Source organism: Homo sapiens, chromosome 15 (genome assembly GCF_000001405.40).
Source record: "Homo sapiens chromosome 15, GRCh38.p14 Primary Assembly".
Taxonomy (NCBI): Eukaryota; Metazoa; Chordata; class Mammalia; order Primates; family Hominidae; genus Homo; species Homo sapiens.
In genome coordinates, this window is record NC_000015.10 from 71,308,541 (window position 1) to 71,335,908 (window position 27,368).

The 27,368-nt window shown below is 43.2% G+C and overlaps 1 protein-coding gene across 6 annotated transcripts in view; it reads left to right on the plus strand.

Moving 5' to 3' along the window:
• The window catches only part of THSD4 (thrombospondin type 1 domain containing 4), a 686,490-nt gene that overhangs the window by 211,647 nt on the left and 447,475 nt on the right, over positions 1–27,368 (plus strand). The window contains exon 1 of one of the 6 annotated variants that reach the window (XM_011522044.3): positions 23,361–23,832. The exons of the other annotated variants lie outside the window; for them this stretch is intronic. Within the exon in view, the coding sequence (XP_011520346.1) occupies positions 23,826–23,832 (7 nt within the window). The 5' untranslated portion in view covers positions 23,361–23,825. Of the gene's footprint in view, positions 1–23,360; positions 23,833–27,368 lie in introns of those variants that run through there. 6 annotated transcript variants of the gene reach the window in all.

Consider the following 27,368-nt stretch of genomic DNA (forward strand, 5'->3'; position numbering starts at 1 on the left):
TTACATTGTGCAGTTCAGTGGCCTTCCATGTGTTCATGTGGATCAGTTCTTCCTTCATTTTAATTGCCAAGTAATATTCCATGGTTTGGATATATCATTTTGTTTATCCATTCCTCTGTTTATGGACATGGGTTGTTTCCACTTTTTAGCTATTATGAATAATGCTGCTATGAATATTCACGTGCAAGTTATCGTGTGGCCTTGGGTATATGCCTGGGAGTGGAAGTGCCCAGCCATAGGATAACTCCACAGTTACCTTTTTGAAGAACTGCTAAATTGTTTTCCACAGCAGCTGCAGCATTTTACATTTCCACCAGCAACGTATGAGGGTTCCAAGTTTTCCACATTCTTGTCAACCTTTGTTATTGTCCATCTTTTTAACTCTAGTCATCCTAGTGGGGAGTGAAGTGGTTTCTTGTGCTTTTGTTTTTTGGAGACTCACTTCATTGCCCAGGCTGCAGTGCAGTGGCACTATCTCGGCTCACTGCAACTTCCGCCTCCCAGGCCCAAGTGATTCTCCCACTTCAGCCTCCCGAGTAGCTGTGATTACAGGCGCATGCCACCATACCCAGCTAATTTTTTGTATTTTCAGTAAAGACAGGGTTCACCATGTTGGCTAGGCTGGTCTTGAACTCCTGAGCTCAGGCAATCCGCCTGTCTCAGCCTCCCAAATTGCTAGGATTACAGGCATAAGACACCACACCTGGCCTGTTTTATTCTTAATGACTAATGTTGAGCATATTACTGACCATTGTATGTCTTCTTTGGAAAAATACCTATTCAAATCCTTTACCTATCTATAAATTAGGTTGCCTGTCTTTTTATTGTTAAAGTGTAAGCGTTCTTTATATATTCTGAATACTTACCAGATATATAATTTGCAGATATTGTCTTCCAGTGTGGGGTTGTCTCTTCACTTTCTTAATAGTGTCCTTTTAAGCACAAAAGTTTTAAATTTTGATGAAGTCTAATTTACCCATTTTTTCTTTGGCTGCATGTACATTTGATGTCCTATTTGAGAAACCATTACCTAGTCTGAGGCCATAACGATTTACACTTAGGTTTCTTTCTGAGATTTATAGTTTTAGATCCCTGACCCATTTTGAGTTAGTATTTGTAAATGGTGTGAGAAAGTGGTCCAACTTCATTCTTTTGCATGTGGATATCCAGTTGTCCAACCACAATTTGTTGAAGAGACGATTTTTCCACCATTGAATGATTTGGGCACTCTTGTTGACCGTATATGTATGGGCTTGTTTTCTGTTTCTTTCTTAATAAAAAGATATACTTGACAGAGGAAGGTGTGGCATGCAGGCCGTGTTACACAGAGAATATGGGCTGCCTGAAACAGCCCCAGTGCTGACCTCTGCTACTTTCCTCCCTACCTCATGTACTCGCAGATGGACACCCAGCATTGATGGCTCTCCACCTGTATAGCTTGTCTTCACCCTGCAAATATTTATTATTCATACAGCTCCTAAAAGGTTGGGGAAGGATGTCAGCTGACATACCATAGAAAGCTATCAGTTGGATAATGCTAGTATTAGGAGGTGATTTTCAAACCGTGGTCCTTGGTACCCTGCCTCCTCTAATCCAAGTACTTCTGCTATTATGATTTTACCTACCTATCTGTCTTTTAGCATGTTTTCATTTTAGGAAATCAGCACAGACCTTATGATTCTCTTACACTGTGGGACTAGGAGAGATCCATTAGAATCCAGTTTATCACTAAGTTGAAAGGATGCCTGGAACATATGTAAATGTCTCTGTGGGGGCCAAGGAAACTTCCCCTTTGCCTTCTGAAGGCTCATTGAGAAATCAGCTCACAAAAGCCAGATTAATTGGAGAAACATGTGTACATAGGTCCCTTCAGAACGAAGACCTAAAGATACAGGGAAAAGTGTCCATATTTTTAAAGTATCCATTTTTATGCTTAGGTTCAACAAAGTATGGACAGCCATGTAGAAACATGGTTGACAAAAAGGATGTGATCTAATGCTAATAGACTGAGTGGGGGAAACTCAGCAGGGCCTGCCTATCTAGATTCTTCTTGGCCTCTCTAAGCTTGCATTCATTCCTTCTGGGTGACCTCTCTGGAATGGAGGGGGGTTCTTATGACTGTCAAACAAGGTAGGTCAGATAATTTCTTTATGGCCAGTTTTTACACAGAAAAGCATTGGGAAAGTTAGAAATATATTTTTAGGTTTTATGGTTGGCTTTGGGGAAAAGGGGTTCTGGTTTCTATGACCCACCTGGGAGAAGAGGGATTCACTTTCTCTGTCTAGCCTTGGTGGAGAATGGGACTGAGAGACAGGGGGGCAGGAGAATGTCAAAGAAAACCTTTTACTTCTGAGGCCTTCGTTTTGGGGTGTTGTTTACTGAGCCCCAACATCTCCCCCACAACGTGCCAGTTATTCCCTAGCCTGTTGTATCCGCTCAGATTTAGTTCAGTGTTAAGTAGCAGAGACCCAAAATAAAGTGACTTAAACATGACAGAAGTGGATTAAAAGTGGCTGTGCTCCACACAGTCCTCAGGGCCTGGAGCCTTCCAATTTCTTAACTTCTATCCCTTGGGTTTGGTCCTAATTTTAACATTCCAAGAGGCCGTCAAAGTTCTAACCATCGTATTTCAATTTCAAGAGGCAGGATAGAGAATAAAAAGGGAGGACAATGAGCAAAGGACATAGACCTGCTGTTTGTTAACATAGATTTCCAGGGAGTTGTCATAGGCCACCTCTACTTATATTGCATTGGCCAGAAGTGCACCCCAGTGGCAACACCTAGCTTCAAGGAAGGCCTAGAAATGTCATCTTAGAAGGGGATAGCCATGAGCTCAGCTAAAAAGTCTATTGTTTTGGAAGATAATGGGTTTTGGAAGACATCCGACATTCTCTGGCATGGGTGCACCATTTGAACAGCTTTTAGAATCCAGCCTCTTCCAAGGCATTTTTTGAACTAATTAGAAGAGTGCTGTGCTCCCTGCCCCTCTTTGTCTGATCCCGGGGTTTCATGGTGCAGTTGCTGCTTCACTTTCTAACTGTGCACTGATCCTTGCCTTCTGCTTCCACATGTCCTCTTTCTAGACTTACAGATGACAAACCTAGCATTATATGTTGATATCATGTTTCCCTTTTATCCTTGTGTATCATATAATAAAATCTGTTTTCACCTGGGTAAATGGCACCACCATCTACCCATTGCTCAAGCCAAATGCTTGGGAGTCATCCTGAAGAGCGGCCTTTCTCTCGTCACTCCTCTTCAGTCTGTTAGCAGGTCCTGTCTTCTTTTCTTCCCATGACCTATATCTGTCCTCCTCTTTCCACCTCCATGCTGTCACCCTAGTGCGTACCCCATTGTCTCCAGCTGGGCAGCTGCAGCCACCCTCATACCTGGCCTCTGGCTTTCCCTCCTGCCAACCCCTCCCCATAGCCCGTGCTCCACACAGCACTGAAGGCAGTTATCTTTTGTGACACTGTCCTACTGCAGACCCTCCGTGGCCTTCCTGTTGTGCTTTGGAAAAATCCAGAGTTCTCTTTGTTTCCCTGCCCTCTGTTCTGGACTGTATAGTGCTCCCCTCAAATTCATGTTGAGTCCTAGCTTCCAGTACCTCAGATTGTAACTGTATTTGGAGATAAGACCTTTAAAGAGGTAATTGAGGCCGTCTGTAATCCCAGCTACTAGGGAGGCTGAGGCAGGAGAATCGCTGGAAACCGGGAGGCAGAGGTTGCAGTAAGCTGAGATCGTACCACTGCACTCCAGTCTGGGTGACAGAGCAAGACTCTGTCTCGAGGCAGGGGGTGGAGTGGGGAGTGGGGGGAGGGTAATTGAGTTAAAATGAGGCTGCCAGGGTGGGTCTTAACCTAATCTGACTATTGTGCTTTTAAGAAGAGGAGATTAGGACATACAGAGACACCAGGGCTGCATATGCACATCTGTGAGCTGAGGAGAGAGGCCTCGGAGGAAACGAGTCCTGCAGGCACCTTGATCTTGGACTTCCAGCCTCCAGAACTGAGAAAATAAATTTCTATTATTTAAGCCACCCACTCTGTGATATTTCATTACGGCAGCCCTAGAAAACTCCTCTAACCTGCCAAGCCACACATGATCATATAACCTGCCAAGCCACACATGATCAGTTACCTCTGGCCTCATACCTTCCTCTGCCTTTTCTCACTCCACTCTAGCACGACTCGGGCTCCCACTCCCCACTTCCCCACCACCCCACAGGACCTTTGCACTTGCTCTTTGTGCTTCTGGGAATGTTCTGACCCCCAGATCTTCCTATGGCTTCCTCCTCATTATTCAGGCCTCTCTTCTGATTGTCCCTCCCTGCAAGAGACCTTCACTGTCATACCTCACCACTCAAGTATCTGAAACTTTTGGAGTTGGTTTACTTATTGCCCTAGAATGAAAGCTCTGCGAGAGCAGGGACTTCCTCTGTCTTGTTCACTGCCACGTCTTCACTCGCTAGAACAGTGCCTGGCATATAACGGCACTTAATGAGTGTTCATTGGAATGAATGAGTAGATGTATGATAAAATTAAGGTTTTTTTCCTATGTGTTTATTTATATCAGTATCATTTATTTATTGATATCAGTATGGACCCATGGATATTTATTTTATACTTTGGGCTACAGTTCACTTCTACTTTATTTATTTATTGCTCAAGTTATTCAAGCCTTAGTCACTGAATTTAGTTGGCCCCTGGTATCCCTTTGGCACAACCCCGTCATTCTGTGTGTGTACATGCATGTGCTCACATATGTGTGTGTGTGCATGTGTTCAGTATTTCCTTACTCTCTGGCACTACAAGATGCTCCAGGTTCATGTTGGACATTCCCTGCCCCAGTTATCAAATCAGCCATTTCTTCAAGGAGCTCTGGTACTTTTGTATTTTATTTTTTGATATTTTTATTTTGGGGGAATAACACACACTGGAGCTTGCTGAGGGAGGGTCGGGGGAGAGCATTAGGACACACAGCTAATGCATGCTGGGCTTAATACCTAGGTGATGGGTTGATAGGTGCAGCAAACCACCATGGCACACGTTTACCTATGTAAAATTAGTTTCAATATATAGACAATTTCAAAATCTTAAAAATAATGCTTTGAGGGAAGGAGAGACTCTTTTCGTAAAAGTGTTTCTTAGGAGAAGCATGTCATTTTTTACTTTTTGATTTTTTCATACTTACCCCTCCCCAGAAGCAGCGGACCTCCTAGCTGTGTCTCGCGGTCTCCCTCCATCTCCGCAGGTTTGTACCGACTGGGGGCTCTCCGTAGCTTTCATGCCATTGCTGGTATCATTACTGGCATCAATTGTTCCTGTTAGAATGAGGGCTTAGGTAGTTAGAAAAAAACACAGCATGGGCTCCTACTAACAAAAGCAGATTAAAGCCATCTTTTCAGTTAATTAGTTCCAATGCTCTGATACGGATGATGAGGCATAGGAAGGCTTTTATTGGAGGAATTCTTCTGTCCAGAGGGGCTTTGAAAGCAAATGTGCTGAAAGTCCTGCGGCTTTTCTCAGTGGTTTGAGAATGTTTATCCTAAGAAGTGTTTCTCAGTGAGTTGGAAAAGATCATTTTAGCCATATGATTATAGCCTTTTTTAAAGGTTTAATAGTTACAGTTTACTGAGAAAGAGGTTGAATTATATCTTGATTTTTTTTTCTCTTTTGTTTGATTTAGGCTGAAGGAACTTATCTCAAAACTTAGCCTGGTAATATTAATTTTGATAAGTTACTATAAGAAAATATTATATTTTTATTCTTTTTTTTAATTATTGGCGGCGGAGTCTCACTCTGTCACCCAGGCTGGAGTGTAGTGGCTGGTCTCAGCTCACTGCAACCTCTGACTCCTGGGTCCAAGCGATTCTCCTGCCTCAGCCTCCCAGGTAGCTGGGATTACAGGTGCACACTACCACGCGCAGCTAATTATTGTATATTTAGTGGAGATGGGGTTTCACCATGTTGGCCAGGCTGGTCTTGAACTCCTGACCTCTGATGGTCCATCTGTCTCGGCCTCCCAAAGGGCTGGGATTACAGGCATGAGCCACCCACTGTGCCTGGCCATTTTTATTCTTTTAAAAGAGAAAAGTACTTGTGCTTTCAGCCTCAGAGAAACCATGCCTACAACATAATCTTATTATTTGTATCACAAAGTTGTGATCCAAGTATTGCCACACCTTGGTTCAGTGTGCTGTAGTGCAGGTTAGATATTTTGGATGCTAAATACACCTCTTGTAGCAGGTTTTAAATTTCTGCAACAGACTCAAAGAGAACCATTACTTTAAAAATATTTCTATTTTAAACAAATGTAACTTAGTATGTCTTATTTTCAAAGACAGTAGAATATAAACTTACACTGTCAAGTATTCTTATACTTTCACTCTCTTATCTAGTTTAAAACAGTTTTCTGGGGATAATTTTTCTAAAGATTCAGGCTCATAGTTAATTCAAGCTCCAGGGCTATTTTCCACCTGGGGTTCTCTGCCTCCTGCCCCCACTCCCCCAGGATGACCTCTGCAATCAGGAATATGTTGATGGCAGTGGTAACAGGGAGGACTATTAGAACACTCTCTGCCCTCTGGGTCCTTGTTGGCATCCTAGAGGTGCCCTTTGTCCTCCCAGCATGGCCTGGGCTGCCTGCCTTCATCTCTCCTCATCTCTGGCTGATATACCTGCATTCACCTGTGCTCTGGGCTGGCTCTAACTGTGCAACTGGTGACCATCCCTGCCTTGGCTTTCAGCCAGTCTGTATCCTTCTTGCCCAAAACCTGGACTTTTAATTGTCCACAGACCCCCTTCACACTTTTATTATGACACTGAGCCTTGCATGAACTGGTTCACCTCTCTCTAGGCTGTGGGAAACCAGGGAGATATTTCAAAGCCTGCATGACACTCCGTCTTCTCTACTCCACCATGGCCACCTCTTGTTAATGTAGGGCACACAGCGGGTGGTCTTCTCCCAGAATTCCAAATGGGAAGGAAAGCACCCAGGATAGGAGGTCAGCTGTGTCCTCTGTGGTCAGTCCTCCAGGCTCCGCCTCCTTGAAACCAACAAATATATTTTTATTTTCTTTTGAACAAAGCCTGATTACTGTTACTGAGGTGGCGGCGGGGAGGCTTTGTTTGCAGATAAATCTCTAGACCAGGGATTTAGAAAACACTATTTTAAACTTCAAGGATTAGGAATGACTCCCTTGTTCAAAGTTGTATCTGTCCTTGCTGTGAAGGAGGATGTAGATGCTTCAGTTTCAGGAGGTGGAGAGATTTGGGGAAATAGGAGCACAAGGAATAAAAATATATCAGATTGTATTTCACCAACACAAAAAAAATTGTCCTTCTATATTCTTAGTAGTAGAATCTACTGATTAATAACAAATGACTATATATATAGCCTCATCCTCAAAAGTGAATGTAGGATGACTTTCAAATTAGAAGTCAAGGTGAATGAGAGGTAAAATAGAAATTACAGAGGAAATCTTAGTAAGACTTTTGGGTTCACTGGGTATGAGCAGAGTAAGGAGTTGGGGATAACTTCAAAGTTATCCCTGTTAGCCTGTATGGAAATCTGCTTGCAAAACAGGCTCTTGGCTATGACTGAAGTTACACACCACTTGATTCAGCTGAAACAGTCATTTATGTCTGTTGCCATTCCTGTCCTCTCTTCTGGTCTTCATTCTCACATCTCCAACTTCTGCTAAACAGCCCCTCCTTTATATAACTCAGCTTGACTTCAAATTAAGTACATCTAAACCTAAACCCATCTTTTCAAAACAGGTAGACATTGACAAACCTTAACCCCCCTGCTCCAACCAAGGGGTTACATTAAGACGATACTGGTGGGACATCTTCAGTCACCTATTTTACAATCTTGAAGTTATCCACAAGGCATGATGGTGACTGGCCCACTTTTGTGGAATTGGTAGGCCAAGCACAAGTCTACCTTTGTTTAGGGTGAGTGATACAAAATTGTCACTCTACAGAGTTCTAGGTGTCATTTGGCTCCTTAAATATACTACACACCAACCTAGGCCTTAGGCCCATTGCTGCTAGGGAGGGGTACCCATCATGCTTTCAGGCCTGGCTTAGTGGCTGAAGGCCTAGATACAACTGAACCTGGGGCAAGCTTCCTCAGTTCCAGCAGCTGACCAGAGTGGGGCTCCCTGGACCTGGGAAAGGCTGGGCCCCCAACAAGCAGCAGGGTCTGGCTGGAAGATTTATGTTCCAAGCATCTCAGTGGAGTTCTGAGAACACAAATGTAATGGATCTTAGGGCCGAAATCTGAGGACTGAGCCCATGTTGGGAAAATACCAAAGTATTATACTTTGTAGTTATCAGTGGGACCTAATAAACCATTGTCAATGCTGACATTTATATTTTCATGTGACACAAAATGAGCCATGGGAACTGCCTTTCAAGGTTGCTTAGAAAGTGGTTGGCAGAGCCTGAAGTTTTAAAAAGATTGGGTGGGATATAAATGTTTAGACAAATTAGATTGCCTAAGTGTTTGCTTTGTATAATAATAGTCTGAATAAACTGCTAAGGGAGAATTTTCAGAGCTGGATATTGGTGTTTAAAATAGTCAACATACAAGTGACTAAGCCTCCACTCCCTTAACCTCTGAAACATATTTGTGATGGAGAGCATTAGAAGTGAGGAGTAGCCATAAAAGGAAAAAGGTTGTCGTCTTCTGTGAACCCATTTCTGTGTACACAGGGTAGAATGTTTTTGAAGATGGTGTATTAGTCCATTCTCACCCTGCTAATAAAGACATACCCAAGGCTGGTAATTTGTAAAGAAAAAGAGGTTTAATGGATTCACTGTTCCACATGGCTATGGAGGCTTCACAGTAATGGCAGAAGGTGATGGAGGAGCAGAGGCATGTCTTACATGGTGGCAGGCAAGAGAGCATGTGCAGGGGAACTCCCCTTTTATAAAACCATCAAATCTCATGAGACTTATTCACTATCATGAGAACAGCAGGGGAAAAACACACCCCCATGATTCAGGTAACTTTCACTAGGTCCCTCCCATGATATATGGAAGTTATTACAATTGAAGGTAAGATTTGGGTGGGGACAGAGAGCCAAACCATATCAGATGGCAAAATGTACCCTTTGGGAAGTTCGTTTTTTCACATGATTCCAAGGAAGAGGCTGCCTGTGTAGGGGGACAGTGGGATAGTTGAGGACTGGGAATGGTCTGGCTTCAAATCCTGGATCTATCACTTAGTATTGACATTTGACAAATTACTCAGCCTCTTCCAGGTTTATTTTCCACATCTGTAAACATGGAGAAATTCATAATACCTACCTTCATAGAATTCTCATGGCATTAAATGAGATACACTACCTAACGCAGTTGATTAGCAAATGCCTGGTATTTGGTCGGGGCTGAGTAAGTATCAGTGTCCCTTGAGATCCTCACTGCTGTTTTATTAGGTGAGGAGGTGGTGGAGCTTAGAATTTATATGCCCAGGAGGATGGTGCTTCTTGCCCAACACCCACCTACCAGTGGCTTTTGGGGGGCAGTAGGGAAGGGAGGAAGGATTCAGGGAGCATGGAGTTACTTGTTCCTAATCTGCTTGGTCCGCCTTTGAGGGAAGTTTATGAAGAACAGTCCCACTTCCTTCCCAGGAGGCATGCCATGAGCCAGAGATAAGGCAGTGAATTTGGGAAGACAGAGATTCAAGACAACTGAGCCTCCAAAGTCACCACAGACTAGGAGAGAGGCAGCATGGATGGCCCCCAGAATGAAGGCCGAGGATGTCAGGGGTGGAGACAGACAGAGAGCCAGGGAATGGCACTAGGCATAGGATGGAGCATGGTTTGAAGTGGAGTTAGTTTGGTGTTTTCTACACCTGGGACATTTGTTCCTTTACCACACTGAGAGATGGAATCTTAGTGGGAAGGAACCACTATTTGTCTTTTACTCATTAAGTTCCTAGCCCAGCATAAAGGCTCCTGGAATAAGTATCCTAATGGGAAAAGCTAAAGCCTCTTGGAGGCACTCAGGGTTTGGCCACAGTCATTGATGGTTCAAGAGTTGTTAAGGTGATTCAGACCAACACAAACCAGGGGCCTGTAGCTGAGGCTGGGACTCAGCCCATCAGCAATCAGAAGGGCCAGAACCACACTGGATCATTTCATTCTGGGTTGGAAATGACTGGAATAAAGATCCTAGGGGAAGCAGGAGCAATGAATCTAAGACTTAGAACAGAAGGAGCACAGACACCCAGGTTACCTGAAGAAGAGTCAGATGATGCCAAGTGTGAACCTGAGAGGCAGGAGGGCTGGGGAGGCAGAGTACAGCAGTGGAGAGAACACTGAGCTGAGAGCGGGAGCCCTGGCCCTGGGTGCAGTACGATTCTCCTAGCTTGGGGTTTAGCTTTGGATAATTTGTTTTATTTCTCAGAGTTTCAGTTTCCTCAGTTTCAAAATGAGGATGATCATGCCTTAGGTCATAATGTTGATTAATGGCAGAACTTGATTTAGAACCAGATCTCCTGGAAGTAACAATTACTTGTGCTGGACATTGGTGCTTGCAAAATACTTCTCTTAAGTGATCACATTTGATGACATTTGTTTCAGGCCTGTTTCAAGCACACCATAATCAGGACTGAGCACCTTAGGACACTCCTGGTATGTCTAATCAGGGAAATGGGGAACACCACAATGTTGACATCAAGGATTCTAAAGTCTATTATTATTATTATACTTTAAGTTCTAGGGTACATGTGCACAACGTGCAGGTTTGTTACATATGTATACATGTGCCATGTTGGTGTGCTGTACCCATTAACTCGTCATTTACATTAGGTATTTCTCCTAATGCTATCCCTCCCCCCTCCCCCTTCCCCCCACCCCACAACAGGTCCCAGTGAGTGATGTTCCCTGCCCTGTGTCGAAGTGTTCTCACTGTTCAATTCCCACCTGTCAGTGAGAACATGCGGTGTTCAGTTTTCTGTCCTTGTGATAGTTTGCTCAGAATGATGGTTTCCAGCTTCATCCATGTTGCTACAAAGGACATGAATTCATCCTTTTTTATGGCTGCATAGTATTCCATGGTGTATATGTGCCACATTTTCTTAATCCAGTCTATCATTGATGGACATTTGGGTTAGTTCCAAGTCTTTGCTATTGTGAATAGTGCTGCAATAAACATACGTGTGCATGTGTCTTTATAGCATGTGTTTTTCTTTGTTCTGATTCTGAATTGCCCTGTTGGTGGTGCTGCCCTGTTAAAAGTCAGTTAGGATGGCCCTGAATGTGAGTTTTGCTAGGCTATTAATGACCGTTTATTTGGCCAACAAGTGTTACAAACACGTGATTAAGCAAAGGTAAGCAAATTCTTTATTACAGGAGTTCTCAGAGCTCTTACTGTACTGACATGAATTATAAATCTTTAAAAGGACGGTATGGTAACTAGACTCCAGCAAAAGGGTCATAGAACCATTTTTAAATTGGTGGTTGTTGTTAGATCTCTTGGCACTAACATTCTTGAAAATATGCTTGGGGAAATGCTAACTCAGAAATTAACGTTTGCTGAACCCAGAGTCCACTGGGTTACCCCTAGGTGAACTTCTAGTTCCCGAAGTTGGCCTTTGGATGAGTCATCTTCCCCCATCAGGTTCAACTATGTGAGGATCATTCTGCAGTCACTCATGATAACCATTTCTCAGTTTAATGGTACAATTCCATATTGCCTTACATTTTATATAAGTTGTAAGCTCATAAAACATCTTTGTATATTTGGAATGTACTAAAGACTGCAAGTTAACCCAGACTAAAACAACCTCAAAGTTATTTGCAATCTTCTGAACATCTCCATATTACAGCAACTGCCCTTCTCACGAGCAGGTCCATTTTCCTTTTTTGATGAGGATACTAGCTTCTGGCAAGCTGAACTCTCCTTTGGATCACAAACTTTCCTTCTCCTAAAGGTCCCAGATGTTACTAAGATTTAAAATAGGTCAGCTCACATTTTTGGCCTTTTCATACAACATAGCCCACGTTAGATTGGTAAAGAGACAGATAACACATAGAAAAAAAGATCCAAGTAGCCCAAGAAAGCCTGTTCCTGGAACGTGATCAAACTTTTTGCTCCATCCATACCTTTCCTCACAAAAGCTTTTTCAAAAATGTGGGACTCGCACTGCTTGTCCCTTGATTTTAGTGGAACCAAGAAACCGCATCAAATAACACTGAATCCTAGAATGAGAAAGTCATTCCTTTTTCAGTTCTCTTTCAACTCCAGACATCTTTTTTTTTCAACATCAAGGAAGATGTTATGCTAGTTATGTCTTTAACAGTTCTCAAATTGAGCTAGTCTTCAATTGTGTCTAGCTAGGATTTAATAACATGGTTTCATTTTCTTTTGTATTTATTTTACTATAACTTTTTATCCATGGAAAGTGATGTAGCTTTTCCATATTCCATGGCAAGATAAGATTCGTTTTGAAAATAAACGTTAAAACATTTAAACAGAGTATATTGTGAAGATTAGAACTGCTGTCATAACAGCTGCCCTGTAACCTTCTAAGGTTGACCCAAAACACATGATTCCCCGTTTTATAGATGTATCAGCTGAGACTAGCAGAGATGAAATGACTGCCTCAGTGATGTGCCAGTTATTTGACTGAAATAACCAGAGCTGGACCTAAGATCTTCTGCAGCTTCATGTACTCCCTCTGTAAAACTTTTGTTATCAGGCCAGGCGCGGTGGCTCAAGCCTGTAATCCCAGCACTTTGGGAGGCTGAGGCAGGCGAATCACCTGAGGTCAGGAGTTGGAGACCAGCCTGGCCAACATGGTAAAACCCTGTCTCTACTAAAAATACAAAAATTAGCTGAGCATGGTGGCAGGCGCCTGTAATTTCAGCTACTCAGGAGGCTGAGGCAGGAGAATCGCTTGAACCTAGGAGACAGAGGTTGCAGTGAGCCAAGATGGCGCCATTGCACTCCAGCCTGGGCAACAGAGCGAGATTCCGTCTCCAAAATAACAAAAAAAGCTTTAGTATCAGCCTTCTCTTTTAAAACATAAGGTTAACAGAATCTTTTAAAATTGTTTTCCCTTCCCTGCAGCATTTTGAAATCATATTCTAAGAATAGATTTATTTAATAACTAAGTTATTAAAATATTAAAAGCAGTTATGAATGTGAGAGTGCTGAAATAAATGTAATTGCATTCTTAAAATGCTGTAACATCAGACAATTTTTTTAAGTTAAAATATTTAACTGAAAAACAGCTGAAACAACTTAAGACCTATTAAAACAACAAATGGGCTAATGTGAGCAATATTTAAAAGAATATTAAAATATTATAGTCAATTCAATATGGGCAAAAAATTTTACTTTCTTAAGACCCTGAAAAGCAGCAAAAACAAATAAAAGCCAGAGTCAACAATTGCAAATATTAACAACAATCAAAGACCATTAGAACTAAAGGGAAAATGTAGAACTGAGTAAAATGATCACATGGACTTAAAAAAAAAAAAGTGGGTCAAATTAAGTTGAAAACAAGCTTGGAGTACATTAAAATGCACCTAATAATGGTTTTTTAAAATTCATTGACGTTTATACAGTGTTATGGAATTTAGCCTGGAAGGTATCAGTGACTTTTTAGGAACTTTGAGGAAATGACCCCTTGGTCTCCTGATTTGTACCTGCTGACTTGCTTGCTAGAAAACAGGATTTCCATGAGTTGAAGAGTCTGAGAGGCTAAGACTGTAGGCGGGCCACCTAGACAACACTCAACCCTTGCTGGAGGATATTTGGTTATTAAAACCATCCAGAAAAATGTGTCAGAAAAAAGTGAGGAAATTTAGTCCAAGGAACAGATCAGAAAAACTTGCTAGGCCTGTTAAATCTTCGTGACTTCCTTCTGTTTTAAATTTTGTCTATTTGGCCTGATACGGGGTAATAGAATTCTAAAAACAGAAATGTATTCGTTGTCTATGACTGCATAACAAATTATTCTAAAACCTAGTGGCTTAAAAACAGCAATAAATATTTATTATCTTAAAACGTTTCTATAGGTCAGGAATTGAGAAGTGGCTTGGCTGGGTGGTTCTGGTTCAGTGTCTGTCATGGGGTTGCAGTCAGGTTGGCTGGTGCTGGAGGATGGACTTCCAAAGTAGCTCACTCCCTGGTGCTGGCTGTGGGCAGGAGGCCTTAGTTCTCTCCACATGGGCCTCTCCACAAGGCTGCTTGAGTGTCCTCCTGACACGGTGACTGGCCTTCCTCAAGGCAGCCAATCACAGAGGCCAGGTGGTGGCCAGGCATGGTGGCTCACACCTGTAATCCCAGCACCTAAAAGGCTTAGGTGGGGGGATCACTTGAGCCCAGGAGTTCAAGACCAACCTGGATAACATGGCAAAACTCAGTCTCAACTAAAACTCCAAAAATTAGTTGGGTGTGGTAACACACACCTGTAGTCCCAGCTACTCAGGAGGCTGAGGTGGGAGGATCACCTGAGCCTGGGAGGTTGAGGCTGCAGTGAGCTGTGACTGTGCCACTCCACTCCAACCTGGTTGTTGGAGTGAGACCCTGTCTTAAAAAAAAAAAAAAAAAAAAAAAGATCGTAGTCTTCTAATCCTTAACCTCATCTTGAAAGTTATGAAGTGCTTACTGTCATCATTCTCTATTGGTTACACAGACTAGTGCAGATTCAGTATGTGAGGAGACCACCCAAAAGCATGGATACTAGAAGGCGCCAATCGCAGGGGGCCATTTCAGAAGCTGACTACCACAACCAAGGATTAAAGGTCATGAAGAGAACATAGAAATCTCATGTTCGCCTGTGTCCAGCCTTGCAGGAGGAAGTCTAGGAACTAGACACATGGTAGCAGCTTAGAAAAGGAGAAAGAAGGAGCTTAAGCCAGTGAGGCCAACTGAAAAGAAACTGGGATTGTTCAGAGAGCCAGTGGGGGCAGGTAGAAAAGCCTGTTCCATTCTCTCAGGTTCCCTGAAAACTGGTTGAAGAGCTGCAGGGGGGTTTGGGTTCCAGGTAGTCATCTTGAGCTTAAAGCTGTGGGTGCCAGAGCAGATCCTTATCATTAACTTGAGTGGGTGTCCCGAGGTGGCAAGACACAAGCTTATTGATAGGAAGAAAGATAAAGGATGAAGCAGCAAAAATCAAGGGCTGCCTATATATTCCTTTGGCAGAACACCAGAGTAATGCAATGATCTGACTCTTAGAAACAGACACAGAGTTGTTTTTCTCATAAGGAATGTATTTATGGTAGCAACTTTAGAGAATGCAGATAAGCAAGAAGAAAGTATAAATAATCTGCAACCCCACTATTCAAAGAATGCTGCTACTATTATGGTTTCCATGTTTTCCAGTGATATAAATGTATCATTCTGTGTGTGTGTGTATTATTGTGTTTGTGTGCATGCATTTTACCAAAGTCGTGTTGCACCTCTGTAACTTGCTTTTCTCATGCGGCACTCATCTTCAGCATCTGTCTCTGTCGTGAGTGATTCTACTACAGCAGTGTTTCCCAACCCTCTCTTCATTACTGCTCCCATAGGAGCCTTTTGAATACCACCATGAAATGTTAATACCGCAGGTATACTCTGTATCTGTTTATATATTGGGGTCCTTTGGAAGGTAGCAAATAATTGTGATAGCTGTTTTTTGTGTTCTTTTTTTTTTTTAACCTCCCAACAACAAACGTTTGGCCCTTTGACAACGCATGCACGATAGCGCCGTATACAGCTTTATAGTATTTCATTATATGAGTGTGCAATAATTTTTTAAAAATATTTTTTTATTTCAATAGCTTTTGGAGTACAAGTAGTTTTTGGTTACACAGATGAATTGTAGAGTGGTGAAGTCTGAGATTTGAGCCCACCCATCACCTGAGTAGTGTACATTGTACCCAATGTGTACTTTTTTTCTTCCTTGCTCTCTCCCATCCTCCCCATTTTGAGTCTCCATAGTTGATTATATCACTCTGTATGCCTTTGTGTACACACAGTGTAGCTCCCACTTATAAATGAAAACATACAGTATTTGGTTTTCCATTCCTGAGTTACTTCACTTGGAATAATGGCCTCCAGCTCCATCCAAGTTGCTGCAAAGACATTATTTTGTTCCTCTTTTATGGCTGAGTACTATTCCGTGGTGTATATATACCACATTTTCTTTATCCAATCATTGGCCTATGGACACTTAGGTTAGTTCCATAGCTTTACAATCGTGAATTGTGCTGCAATAAAACATACATGTGCAGGTGTCTTTTTGATATAATGACTTCTTTTCCTTTGGGTAGATACCCCTTGGTAGGATTGCTGGATGGAATGGTAGATCTACTTTTAGTTATTTAAGAAATCTCCAGACTGTTTCCCATAGAGGTTGTACTAATTTACATTCTCACCAGCTGTGTATAAGTGTTCCCTTTTCACCACATCCACGCCAATACCTATTGTTTTCTGACTTTTTAATGGCCATTCTTGCAGGAGTAAGTAGGTATCTCATTGTGGTTTTCATTTGCATTGCCCTGATGATTAGTGATGTAGAGCATTTTTTCATGTTTGTCGGCCATTTGTATATCTTCTTTAAAGAAATATCTATTCACATAATTTGCTCTGAGTGTATAATTTATATAACCAACCCTTCTTGCTGAAGATGTGGGTTATGTATAGATTTGACTTGTCATGCCCAATGTTGCAAGAAACTCCTCATACATGTACAGGAATCATATCTCTCATCCAGAAAAATGAGACTGTTATCTGTAACCTCCAGTATGCTATCCTCCTTTTCCTTCCATTGCAAGACCATCAGCTTTCTCTTTATTCCTCAGTTCAACAGTCTCTGAGTACTTACCCAGTGCCAACCAGTCCTGAAGCTGACACTGGTGATAGAGAGATGGCCAAGAAACTGATTTTGTCTGCATGTATGTAGAGCTGACAGCCCAGTGGAAGGAAGGAGGCAAGTGTGGGGATGAAAAGGATGCAAGGAACCTGGATACCAGAAATGTCCAGCTAATGTTCTAAGGGAGTTCAAAACTGGGATATGTCACAGTCACAGTCCTCCCTGGAATTCAAGTCAGAGTACAAGGTTACATGATTTGTGATTATTGCAAACCTCAATTTCCACATTTGTGCAATGGACTGTCAGTACTGACTGCTTAGGAATTTTTTTTCGAACCTCTTGTGATTGAGGCTCAGCTATTGAAATGCCAAGCCCAGGTCAGAGATTAGTCAGAGGAAATGCTAAATTAGAGCCCATTTGACTTTTATGTATGACACTAATTAAACAATAACAAAAAAACTCCAAGAACTCTAGATAGTTTGTCCAGGGGACACCTATAGGTTATGATAACATCAAAACCAGAACCAAAAAAGCCCAAATATTTTTCCTGGGAACTTTTTTTTCCTCACCCCTGAGTAATTCTAATAATATGCATGTAAAATACATTATGGGAAATCCTCTAACAATTTCCACCTCTGTGATAAATGTTGCATTCGAGTAGAGCAAGAACATCTACTTAATAATTCCATATAACTATTCTGCAAAGCTGCCAGGAGCAGAATTTAGTCAGTTGGGTATAGCACGAAGTAGATGGCGTGAGAGAAAGAAAGAAATGGTTTGAACCCAGACTTGGCCACTAATGTGACCTAGAACAAGTGATTTAACCCTCCAAGCTTTGGTTTCCTCGTTCACAATGTGGAGATAAAAAATGATACATACTCTACAGGGTAGTTGTGAGGGGTCAATGAGTAAACTACATGTCAAGGGCTTAATGTCAGTAACAACCAGAGTGTTGCTGGTCCAGAGTGAACACTCAGAAAATGGTGGTGGTGATGATGATAGTGGTGGTGATGATAACGGTGATAGTGGTGGTGGCCGGGCAGGGTGGCTCATGCCTGTAATCCCAGCACTTTGGGAGGCCAAGGCGGGTGGATCGCCTGAGGTCAGGAGTTTGAGAACAGCCTGGCCAACACGGTGAAACCCCGTCTCTACTAAAAATACAAAAATCAGCCAGGTGTGGTGGCACACACCTATAATCCCAGCTACTCAGGATGAGGCAGGAGAATTGTTTGAACCTGGGAGGTGGAGGTTGCAGTGAGCCGAGATCACGCCACTGCACTCCAGCCTGGGCAACAGAGCAAGATTCCATCTCAAAAAAAAAAAAAAAAAAAAAAAAAAAATATATATATATATATATATATATATTAGCTGGGTGTGGTGGCACATGCTTGTTATCCCAGTTACTCAAGAGGCTGAAGTGGGAGGATCACTTGAGCCCAAGATTGAGGCTGCAGTGAGATATGATTATACCACTGCACTGAAGTTTGGATGCCAGAGCGAGACCCTGTCTCTAAAAAGCAAACAGGCCGAGCATGGTGGCTCACGCCTGTAATCCTAGCGCTTTGGGAGGCCGAGGTGGGTGGGTCACCTGAGGCCGGGAGTTCAAGACTAGCCTGACCAACATGGTGAAACCTTGTCTCTACTAAAATACAAAAATTAGCTAGGCATGATGTTGGGTGCCTGTAATCCGAGCTACTCGGGATTCTGAGACGGGAGAATCGCTTGAACCCAGGAGGCAGTGGTTGTGGTGAGCCGAGGTCACACCACTGCACTCCAGCCTGGGTGGCTGAGCGAGACTCCATCTGAAAAACAAAACAAAAAACCAGCTCAAACACTCCAATAGACCACTTCATTCCATTCCTTCTTTTAATTGTTCATGGTGGCCTTTTCTCCCCTGTGAAATACATAAATTCCCATAGTTATGGAGGGGCTCACACTGTCCTGCCACCGGCCTACAGTTTCAAACAGCTCCTGTCAGCTAAACCTTAGCCGCCTTCCACCAGGTTCTGGAACCTCCCTTGGGAAGCCTTCCCTGACTGACCTGACCCACCTAGAACTTCCTTTCTTGGGACTCCCTGAACCACACACTTTATAAAACCAATTCACTAATGCCTTATTATGTTTTAATATGTATAATATTTATTTTGTCTATGAAAGTTTCATTGCGTTTGTCTTCCTAATAAGTTAAAGCTCTAAGAAGTCAAGAATTCTGTTTTATTTACTTTTTGAATGCCATTTCCTTTCTTTTAGAAACCCCCATTCCCTTCTTGTCACCCCCCACCCACTGTGGAAAAAAAAATTGTTTAAAGCACAATGCTGAATGTATATGGCATTCAATGCATAAAGCTGTATTTGGATTTCTTTTTTATAAATCTTGATTTTTCTCTTGCCCCTTTTGCTTCACCCTACTCCCCATATCATGTGCCTTCAAATATACACAAACACAACCTTTTGTATTTATATATAGTGACCTGCTTGCAAAAATAAATGTGTTAACAATGTAGGGCCTAGGACACCTGATACCATTTGAGCCTCAGAATGTATTAATTCAGCCGGGTCTGTGCAAGAATGGTGATTTTTCAATTAAACATACTGTAGCAATGATGGCCTCTTTTCCCACAAACTTACTAAGGTAAGGAATGGGACAAAAGTAAAGCCACCTTCTTTCCTCCATTACAATAGGCCGTGTCCTCCTTTCTCAAACCTTGGCTCAGAGGCGAGGCTTGTAGTTCACTGCTGCATTCTGCTGGGAGAACCATGGTGACCCTCTGGGTCATGGTCCCGACTGGGACACCGTATTTTCGTGCTTCTTGTTTTTATTGTTCCTCTATTTCTTTTTCTTTTGAGTCCAATCTTCAGTCAAGCCTTCCGTGTGAATGATAGTGGCCACTTGGGGATCTCCATCTGCATTTTATTGTATGGCCACGCAAAACCTTTTATCTAATTCCTAGAAGACATCGATTGCTGCATAGCTTGGTGGGTGAAGAATGGAAAAGCACAATCTCACTTTATTTTGCTGGTGGCTTTGCCCTCCCTTTCCTACAAGCAGTCATTCAGGCCTAATGGTTCTGTTCCTCCTAATTATTCATTTGTTCATTCGTTCATTAATTCATTCAGTCTGCCATTCAATATATATTTATCAAGCATCCACTATGTTCCAGGTGCGATTCCAGGCTTCAGAGATAGAACAGTGAATCAAACTGATAATGCCCCCCTCTCCAGGAGCCAGCATTCTAGCGAGAGAGAATGACTTGCTGAATTGTTTCAGTTGGAACTTTTTTTAGACTCTGAACCTTGGAAAAAGTCCACTTTCCATGGGCTTATTAAATGTGCTGAATCAGACAGTTGGTGCTGTTTACTAGAGATCAGGGTTCAACCAGCTTTAGCTGCATGACCCAGAACATTTGATTTTATGATTTACAAAATAAAAAGTTATGGCCCTCTGCAGATGTCCCATCTAATTTGCTCATTGTGTTCCTTAGAGGCAATGTGGTATTGTGAAAAAAGCAAGACCAAGCTTTGCGGTTCAAGTGGCCCGTGCTTGCTGGGCCTCAGTTTCCTGATCTGTAGAATGAGGCTGGATAAATCTAAGTTTCTCTCCAACTCTACAGTCTGATGGTTCTAGTACTACAAGATCAAGATTTTTTTCCTAAAGAGCCATTTGTCTTATTTTAGCTTCAAGCCAAGCCAGGGCATCTGAGAAATACCAAGCCTCCGTTGTGATGTGTCGCCATGAAAATGTTGGCTGCCCTCTGGATGCAAGTCTGCTTGTGCTGTGCTGTGGCTCAGAGTTAAATTTAGATAAAAATCAGTTAGGAGCTAAGAATATTCCCAGCTTTCCTGACAGGTTGTATCCATCATTATGGGAGGAAAAACAAGGAACTGGCTGCCTGGCGACAGGGAGCGGGCCAGGCTGAGTGTGAGGTCAGGCCTCGGCTGGAATCTCACGGACTTGAAAGGACAGAGACGTTTCCTGAGATGTCTGCGGCAGAATGTGGGAGGCTTCAGCCTGAGGAAAGTTCAAGTTGGAGAGAAAGGTTGCCAGACCTTTGAGTGACCCACACTGCTTATAACTTCTAGAAGGTTCTTTTAGGGAAACCTGCTTAGAATGAAACCCTGAAACGTCCTTTGCTGCCTCCTTAACAACTTGCATTAGAGAGTTTCTTCAGCCAAAAGGCGAATGTCTGTTGAGTGGAAAGGAGAGGACGGAGTCGATGTTGTCCCCTGTGAGATGTCATGTCTCAGGCAGTATGCTGGACATTCCCGAGACGCCAGCTCTGCTCAGGTGACTTGTGTGCCCTGCCCTTGTAAGCCTCGAATTACTCATCGTGAAATTGAGGTCAAGCCACTCACTCACAGACAGGGCTGTGGTAACAATAAAATGAAGGGTGCTTAGCACATTGAAAATAACTCAGGCAGTGTTCCATTATTGCTATGGGCTGGGCGTGGTGGCTCACGCCTATAATCCCAGCACTTTAGGAGGCCAAGGTGGGTGAATCTCTTGAGCCCATGAGTTTGAGACCAGCCTGGGCAACATGGTGAAACTTCATCTGTACAAAAAATAAAAAATTAGGCAGGCATAGTGGCACGTGCCTGTGGTCCCAGCAACTAGGGAGGATGAAGTGGGAGGATTGCTTGAGCCTGGGAGGTCGAGGCTGCGGTGAGCTGTGATAGCACCATTGCACAATCTAAACTGGGCCACAGAGCAAGACCTCGTCTCCAAAGGAAAAAAAAAAAAAAGACCACCATGATTGTTCTAGTATTGTTTATTGTTGTGCCCTCCTGGGCCAAACGAGGAGGGGTGGGAGCTGCCCTGGGTGTGCCTATGAGGAGGGCCTTGTGGTCTTGTGGAGTCACTCAGATGTGCTTTCAATCTGAGCTCCCCCACTTCCTAGCTATAGGACCTTTGTTAAATTCATCTTTGAGTCTCAGTCCCCACTCCTCAGAAATGGGTATGACATGTACTTTCTAAAGCTATTCTAAGAATGGCATGCAGTTGTCATTAATTAAAACACGCAGCACACGGTAGGTATTCAACAAACATGGGGAATTGTGTATCATCGTCAGTAGAGGATGCTCTCAAATTACACTAACTCTGCTAAAATCCAGGCCAGGATTGTGATTCGTTGGGAAGCCTTGGGGAAGTTGCTTCGCCATTCTGAACTTCAGTTTCTTCTTCTGTAAAATGGAAGTAATAACAATAGTATCAGCTTTCTATAGTTACTATGAGGATTAGATGACATAAGGCATGTAAATCCATTAGCAGTGTCTGGCATGCAGTAAACCCCTCAATAACTGTTAGCGCTTTCCTTCCTGCCCCTCTCAATTCTTCCAGGACCCAGGTGAAGAGAACAGTCCTATGCTTTGTTCCTTCTGATGTACAATACTGTCATATAAACCCACTCATTTTTTTCTCACTTTCTCTCTCTGCCTCTGCTGCTGCTGTCACCAGTCCATCGCTCTGTTGGTTGCCAAGAGTAAGAGAGCGACTAGGTTGGTAAGTAATTTCAAATAAAACAGACACCAGTCTACACACAGAGCAGAGGTTTGAGTGACATGGACACTAACCCGTTTACCGGGTGCCACTGGCGATCTGGCCTTGTCGAGGAAGGAGGGAGGCTGTGCTAATTTGCTCTCCCACCTGTGTGGCTCCCGGGTGTAGACAGAGCGTTGAGCTCATTTCTCCTGCGCTCCTCTCAGTGGCCTTTGGCTGGCAAAGCTGTTTGTCTCCCCTTCTAGTTTTCTGCTGCAGCCATTTGGACAGTGTTGATTAGTTTTCCTGAGGTGCTGTTTGGGCGTCTCCCCAGCCACCTAGGTACAGATGGAGTGTGTTTGGCTTGTGATGGTGACAGAGGGGCGGCTGCCCTTCCTCGTACTTCTTCTGGCATTGAAGAAGCAGCTCTGAAATCTCCAACTGGGATAGGCCAAGAAAATTTGGATGTGGATACATGAATGCCTGGTTTCCTCTGAAGGTAGTCAGGTCTCAGGCGGCCAAGATCACTGGGAAGAAATGTGACTTTGCATTTGAAGTTCTCATTTGGGGAGACTTGGAGTTATCAGTCTCAGCTGGCTCCAGCCCAGAACAGATTAACTTTTATGAAATGATTGTCTCCAAACACACTTACTAAATGCAAAAACCTGCTGTGGCTCCACAGGCACCATGGGGCGGGGTGAGCTGCAGAGCTTCACTCTAGCTGGGATTGCTCTGCAGTCTGGCCCCCAGAGCATGGTGGGCCGGGAGGAGGAACCCCTGATTTAGATGCTGAAAACCTAGGCTTTGCTCTTGGCCCACCACTAATGAGTTGTAGGACCTAGGGAAATGGAGAAAGGCATACTGCTTCACAGGGAACACCTCAGGGCCCATCTCCAGGACTTTTTGTGGAGGGAATGGGAGGCCTCTGTGGCATTTTGATTCACAAATAGCTAATATTGAATTACAATGCATTCCTTGCCCCCCCCTCCCCACCCCGTGACATTGGACTGCCTACTTGTCCCTTGAACTTCAGCTTTTTCATCTGTAATACAGACATGATAAAATTCTGTTTGTCAGCATCTTCCAGGAAGCAGACATCAAGACAGGACTGTACATTCAAGGATTTTATTAAAAGAAACAGGTTAGGAGAATGGTCAGATAGCAATGCAAGTCTGATCTCTACTGAAGGAAAGAAGAAGGGGCAGTTGTAGGGAAGGGTCCTAGATTGCCAAGGAGGGTCCACAATGCCATCAGGGAGTCCTGCAGCCAAACTCAGCTGTCAGAGGAGTCCCATGTCTCCCAGGAATAGGTTTGTCTCAGTACCCCTGCTGGGTTCCGCTATTGCCTCTGGAATCAGCCCATGAGAAGTGCAGTCTGGTGCCCACACAGCTACAGTGATGGATTTCAGAGCACAGCAGCTGGAGCCGTTGGTCAATTTCATTGCCTGTAGTTGGAGGTCTGCGAAGAGCATTGATTCTCATGGGTACCACAAATACCTACACTGCCAGACGGCTATAAGGATAAGAGATGAATGTATGGTAAGTCTTACTTAAAGGATGATGTATGTGTGTACATGGGTACGTGTCTGTGTGTATATTCTTGGCTGTAAAATGCAGAAGGAGTAAACTAGACATGGAATCAGGAATCCTAGAAGGAGAAAAGGACTCTGCTCCTGGCCTTCAAATTTGCCCCTTAATTTAATCCTTCCCTTAACAGGGAAGTCAGGTACCCAAGGTCACAAAGTTAGACTGCAGCATGCCTCGGATTTGAACCCCGGTTGAAGTCTTGTGATGTTAACATTTTATGGCCCGATTGCTGTCACAGGCTTAAGATAGGGACCATTCAACCTGACAGCAGACGTCTCTCTCTCTCTTTTGCCATACCTAGAATTATGCCTGATATGCAGAGAGTACTCGCCAAATATTTGAGTGATGAATTCATTAACTGCAAGCTGAGCCCTTTAAACAAGCTTGTCCAACCCGTGTCTTGTGGGCCACATGTGGCTCAAGACGGAATGTAAATTTGTAAACTTTCTTAAAACATTGAGATTTTTTTACATTTTTTTTTTTTTTTTAGTTCATCAGCTATTGTTAGTGTTAGTGTATTTTATGTGTGGCCCCAGACAATTCTTATTCCAGTGTGGCCCAGGGAAGATCGGACACCTCTGCCTTTAAGCTTGGTATCTGGTCTAGCTCACCTAGACTCCATTTGGGTATTCCCCCCTTTTAGGCCTCCCTAATAGTGCTGTTCCTATGGGGAGGCTGGGATGCTTAGGTGAGAAGGACATCTTCCCTTTTTGCTGCCCACGAGGTGGGGGCATAAAGAGCCACTTGTGGCTAGAAAAGCAGGTGCATTGCAGGCATTAGCAGCTCAGCCCAAGAGTGTGAGCTTCCTTTCTCTGGAGTCTCTAGGCTGAAAGGGTCTTGGGAGGGGCATTCTGAGTTTTGGCTTTCAGAGCAGGCATTTATGGGGGAAGTGGGGAGTGGCAGAGTCAACCTAAAGCCCCCTTGTTACTGTCCTTGCAGTTGTTAAGCTCACTGTGGTCATAGAGAATTGCCCATGGAGATTCCAAACAGATGTCTATTCTAGTTTCCCATTTCTGATATGTGGGCCTCTTAGACTTTAGCTTTCTCACCCTCAACATACTCTAATTTGGCTGAACCTTTGTTTTTTTTCTTGGCCAAGAGCCTTGTCATTCTGGCATCTATAATTTTGGAGATTTGAGTGGCTGGCAACTGATAGAGTGCAGAAAGGCAGTGATCTTAGGGGACATTCCCATGGCATCAGCATGGGCATTTTTTATTTTTCCAAAAATCGGCCAGACTGAGGGTACAAATGGTTGTGACTGTCGTTAAGGACTTATTGAAGTCTTGCTTCACACTTTACTCAAGGCTATTTCCCACTCAGTAAAGGCAGCGTCTGCATCAAACACCCAATGTTTAAGGTAGTACCAAGCAGACAACAAACCTTTTTCTCTTACGGGGCTTAGTAGATGCTTATTGAAAATATATGAACTTTCGTTGACAAGATAATGCTACAGAAGGTTGTGGCTTCTTTCTTCCCTTTCTCAACCTCCCTCTGGTCTTTATCCTCAAATAACATTTTTGCCTGTTTCTTTTAAGCCAAATATGTGGAATTCAGAGATGAGTAAGACACAACCTCTGCCCTCAAGAAACTCACTGCCTCCCAGCCTGTTGTTTTAGTTTCGAGTTGAGTTGATGAAAGTATCTAAAGAAACATTGTTTTTAAGGTTTAGGATTCACATATGGAGGACAGTGTGATAAGATACACCCAGCAAACCGGAAGCCAGAGCAGTATATCAGCAACCATAACAGTCATAAACTGAGAACTTACTTTGTTCTTTTCTGCAGAATAGCCAAGGCATATTTTTGTGGATCATTTTTCTTCATGATGCATAACATGAAACATAAGGGTAATCTCTTCTCACAAATGGGGAAACAGAGTTAAAGGACTTCTTCAAAATCCTAGCTTTGAAACCGACACTCGACTACCACAGAACCATTTCTCTAAGAGGTGGACATCGGCAGCTTTCTAGATGAACAGGTCACAGAAGAATTTGGGGATTCAGCATGAGAGTGTATATGAAGCCTTTGGTACATTTTCTGAGTGCTTACTAAACATCCAATACAGTCAGTAGCTCTCATTTTTATTTTTATCATTGTTCATGTCATTTTCTCATTCCCCAGCTCTGGGGGCAGTTGGTGCATGGCTGTCACCCAGGACCCATGGACAATCCCCAAGGGCCAAATAACGCTGAAATTGGCATTGACCAAGGCTGCGGCCAAATGCCAGCCCATCAAGGCAAATGAGTCAGTTTGCCAGTGTCTGACCCAAGCCTAGGAGAAGAAACAAACCAGCCTCCCTCTCTCTAGTTCTTTGAAAGTAAGCCCTTAGCCTGATATGTTTGTTGCAGGATAGACCTGTGGCCCTCATAGTGCTCAGAACTGTCAGCAGAACTTCTTCACTGGAAGAAGGAAGATGCACATCTTTCATGGAGGTTGTGCTGTCTATCTGGGACAAAGGGGGAATCCGTTACAAAATCTGCTTCTTTTTGAAGCTGCACATTCAGAAACAGACTATGGCTAAGTGACACACTGGAGCAGATGGGCCAGGGCTGTGCTGGATTTGAAAAAGGCCCTCCTTCCTGAGCAGAATTAATGGAGCTCAGGTCTGGGGAGGGTGAGCGCACTCTTGGCAGGCAGCTGTCTTGTGTGACTTGTGCTGCACTCATCTGTGAAACATGTTGGATCTGAGAAATGAGTCTTGAATCCTGGGTCATGTTAGCATCAGAATCATCTTCTGTTAATTACATGAGACAATACATGTGAGGTGCTTAGAGCAGTGCCTGGAACACAGCTCACGTTCAGGAAATGCAAATACTTGTCAGCCCCAGCAACTTCTTCTGCTTTTAGTTGAGGGCTCTTTTCTTAAATCAGTATTGTGGGCTTTGAGATGGTATTTCAAGGAAACAGAATTTCCTACTCTGTTTAGGACTTGAACCAAGTACCCCCTAACCTCTCCCCAACCCCTCCCAACAAAAATGCACAGATTTTATTTAATTTTTCTTTTCAGAATCTTTATCCCTTAGAACCTAGACTTCTAGAATGACAAATATATTTAATATGGTTTCACAGAGTTTGTCTGGACCCCTTTTTGAGGAGAATTCTGGGGCTGATTTCAGACCCAGAGAAAAAGGATATAATGATTGATGAGTGATGTCTGTCACGGGTGCGAGAGAAGGGTGGGAGGTATGTGTGCCATGCTTTTACCATCTCTAACTAAATGAACTTCAAGGCCCAATTTCCTCGGTGAAGATGAATGCAAGGCTTATTTCCGAAGATGATGCCACTCTGGAGAGCAGCTGAGACCTCAACAGCTGTTTATCTTCCTGGTCATGTTTCTGGTTTCTGGCTGTTTCTTTTAACAAGGGGTCAGTAACTGAGGGCTTCTCCACATCTGCAGGGAGTTTCCTGCAGAATTAGGATGTGTAAAATAAACCCACAAAATCAAAGCCCCAAACAGATGCTGGAGATTATTTCACACTTGAGGTCAT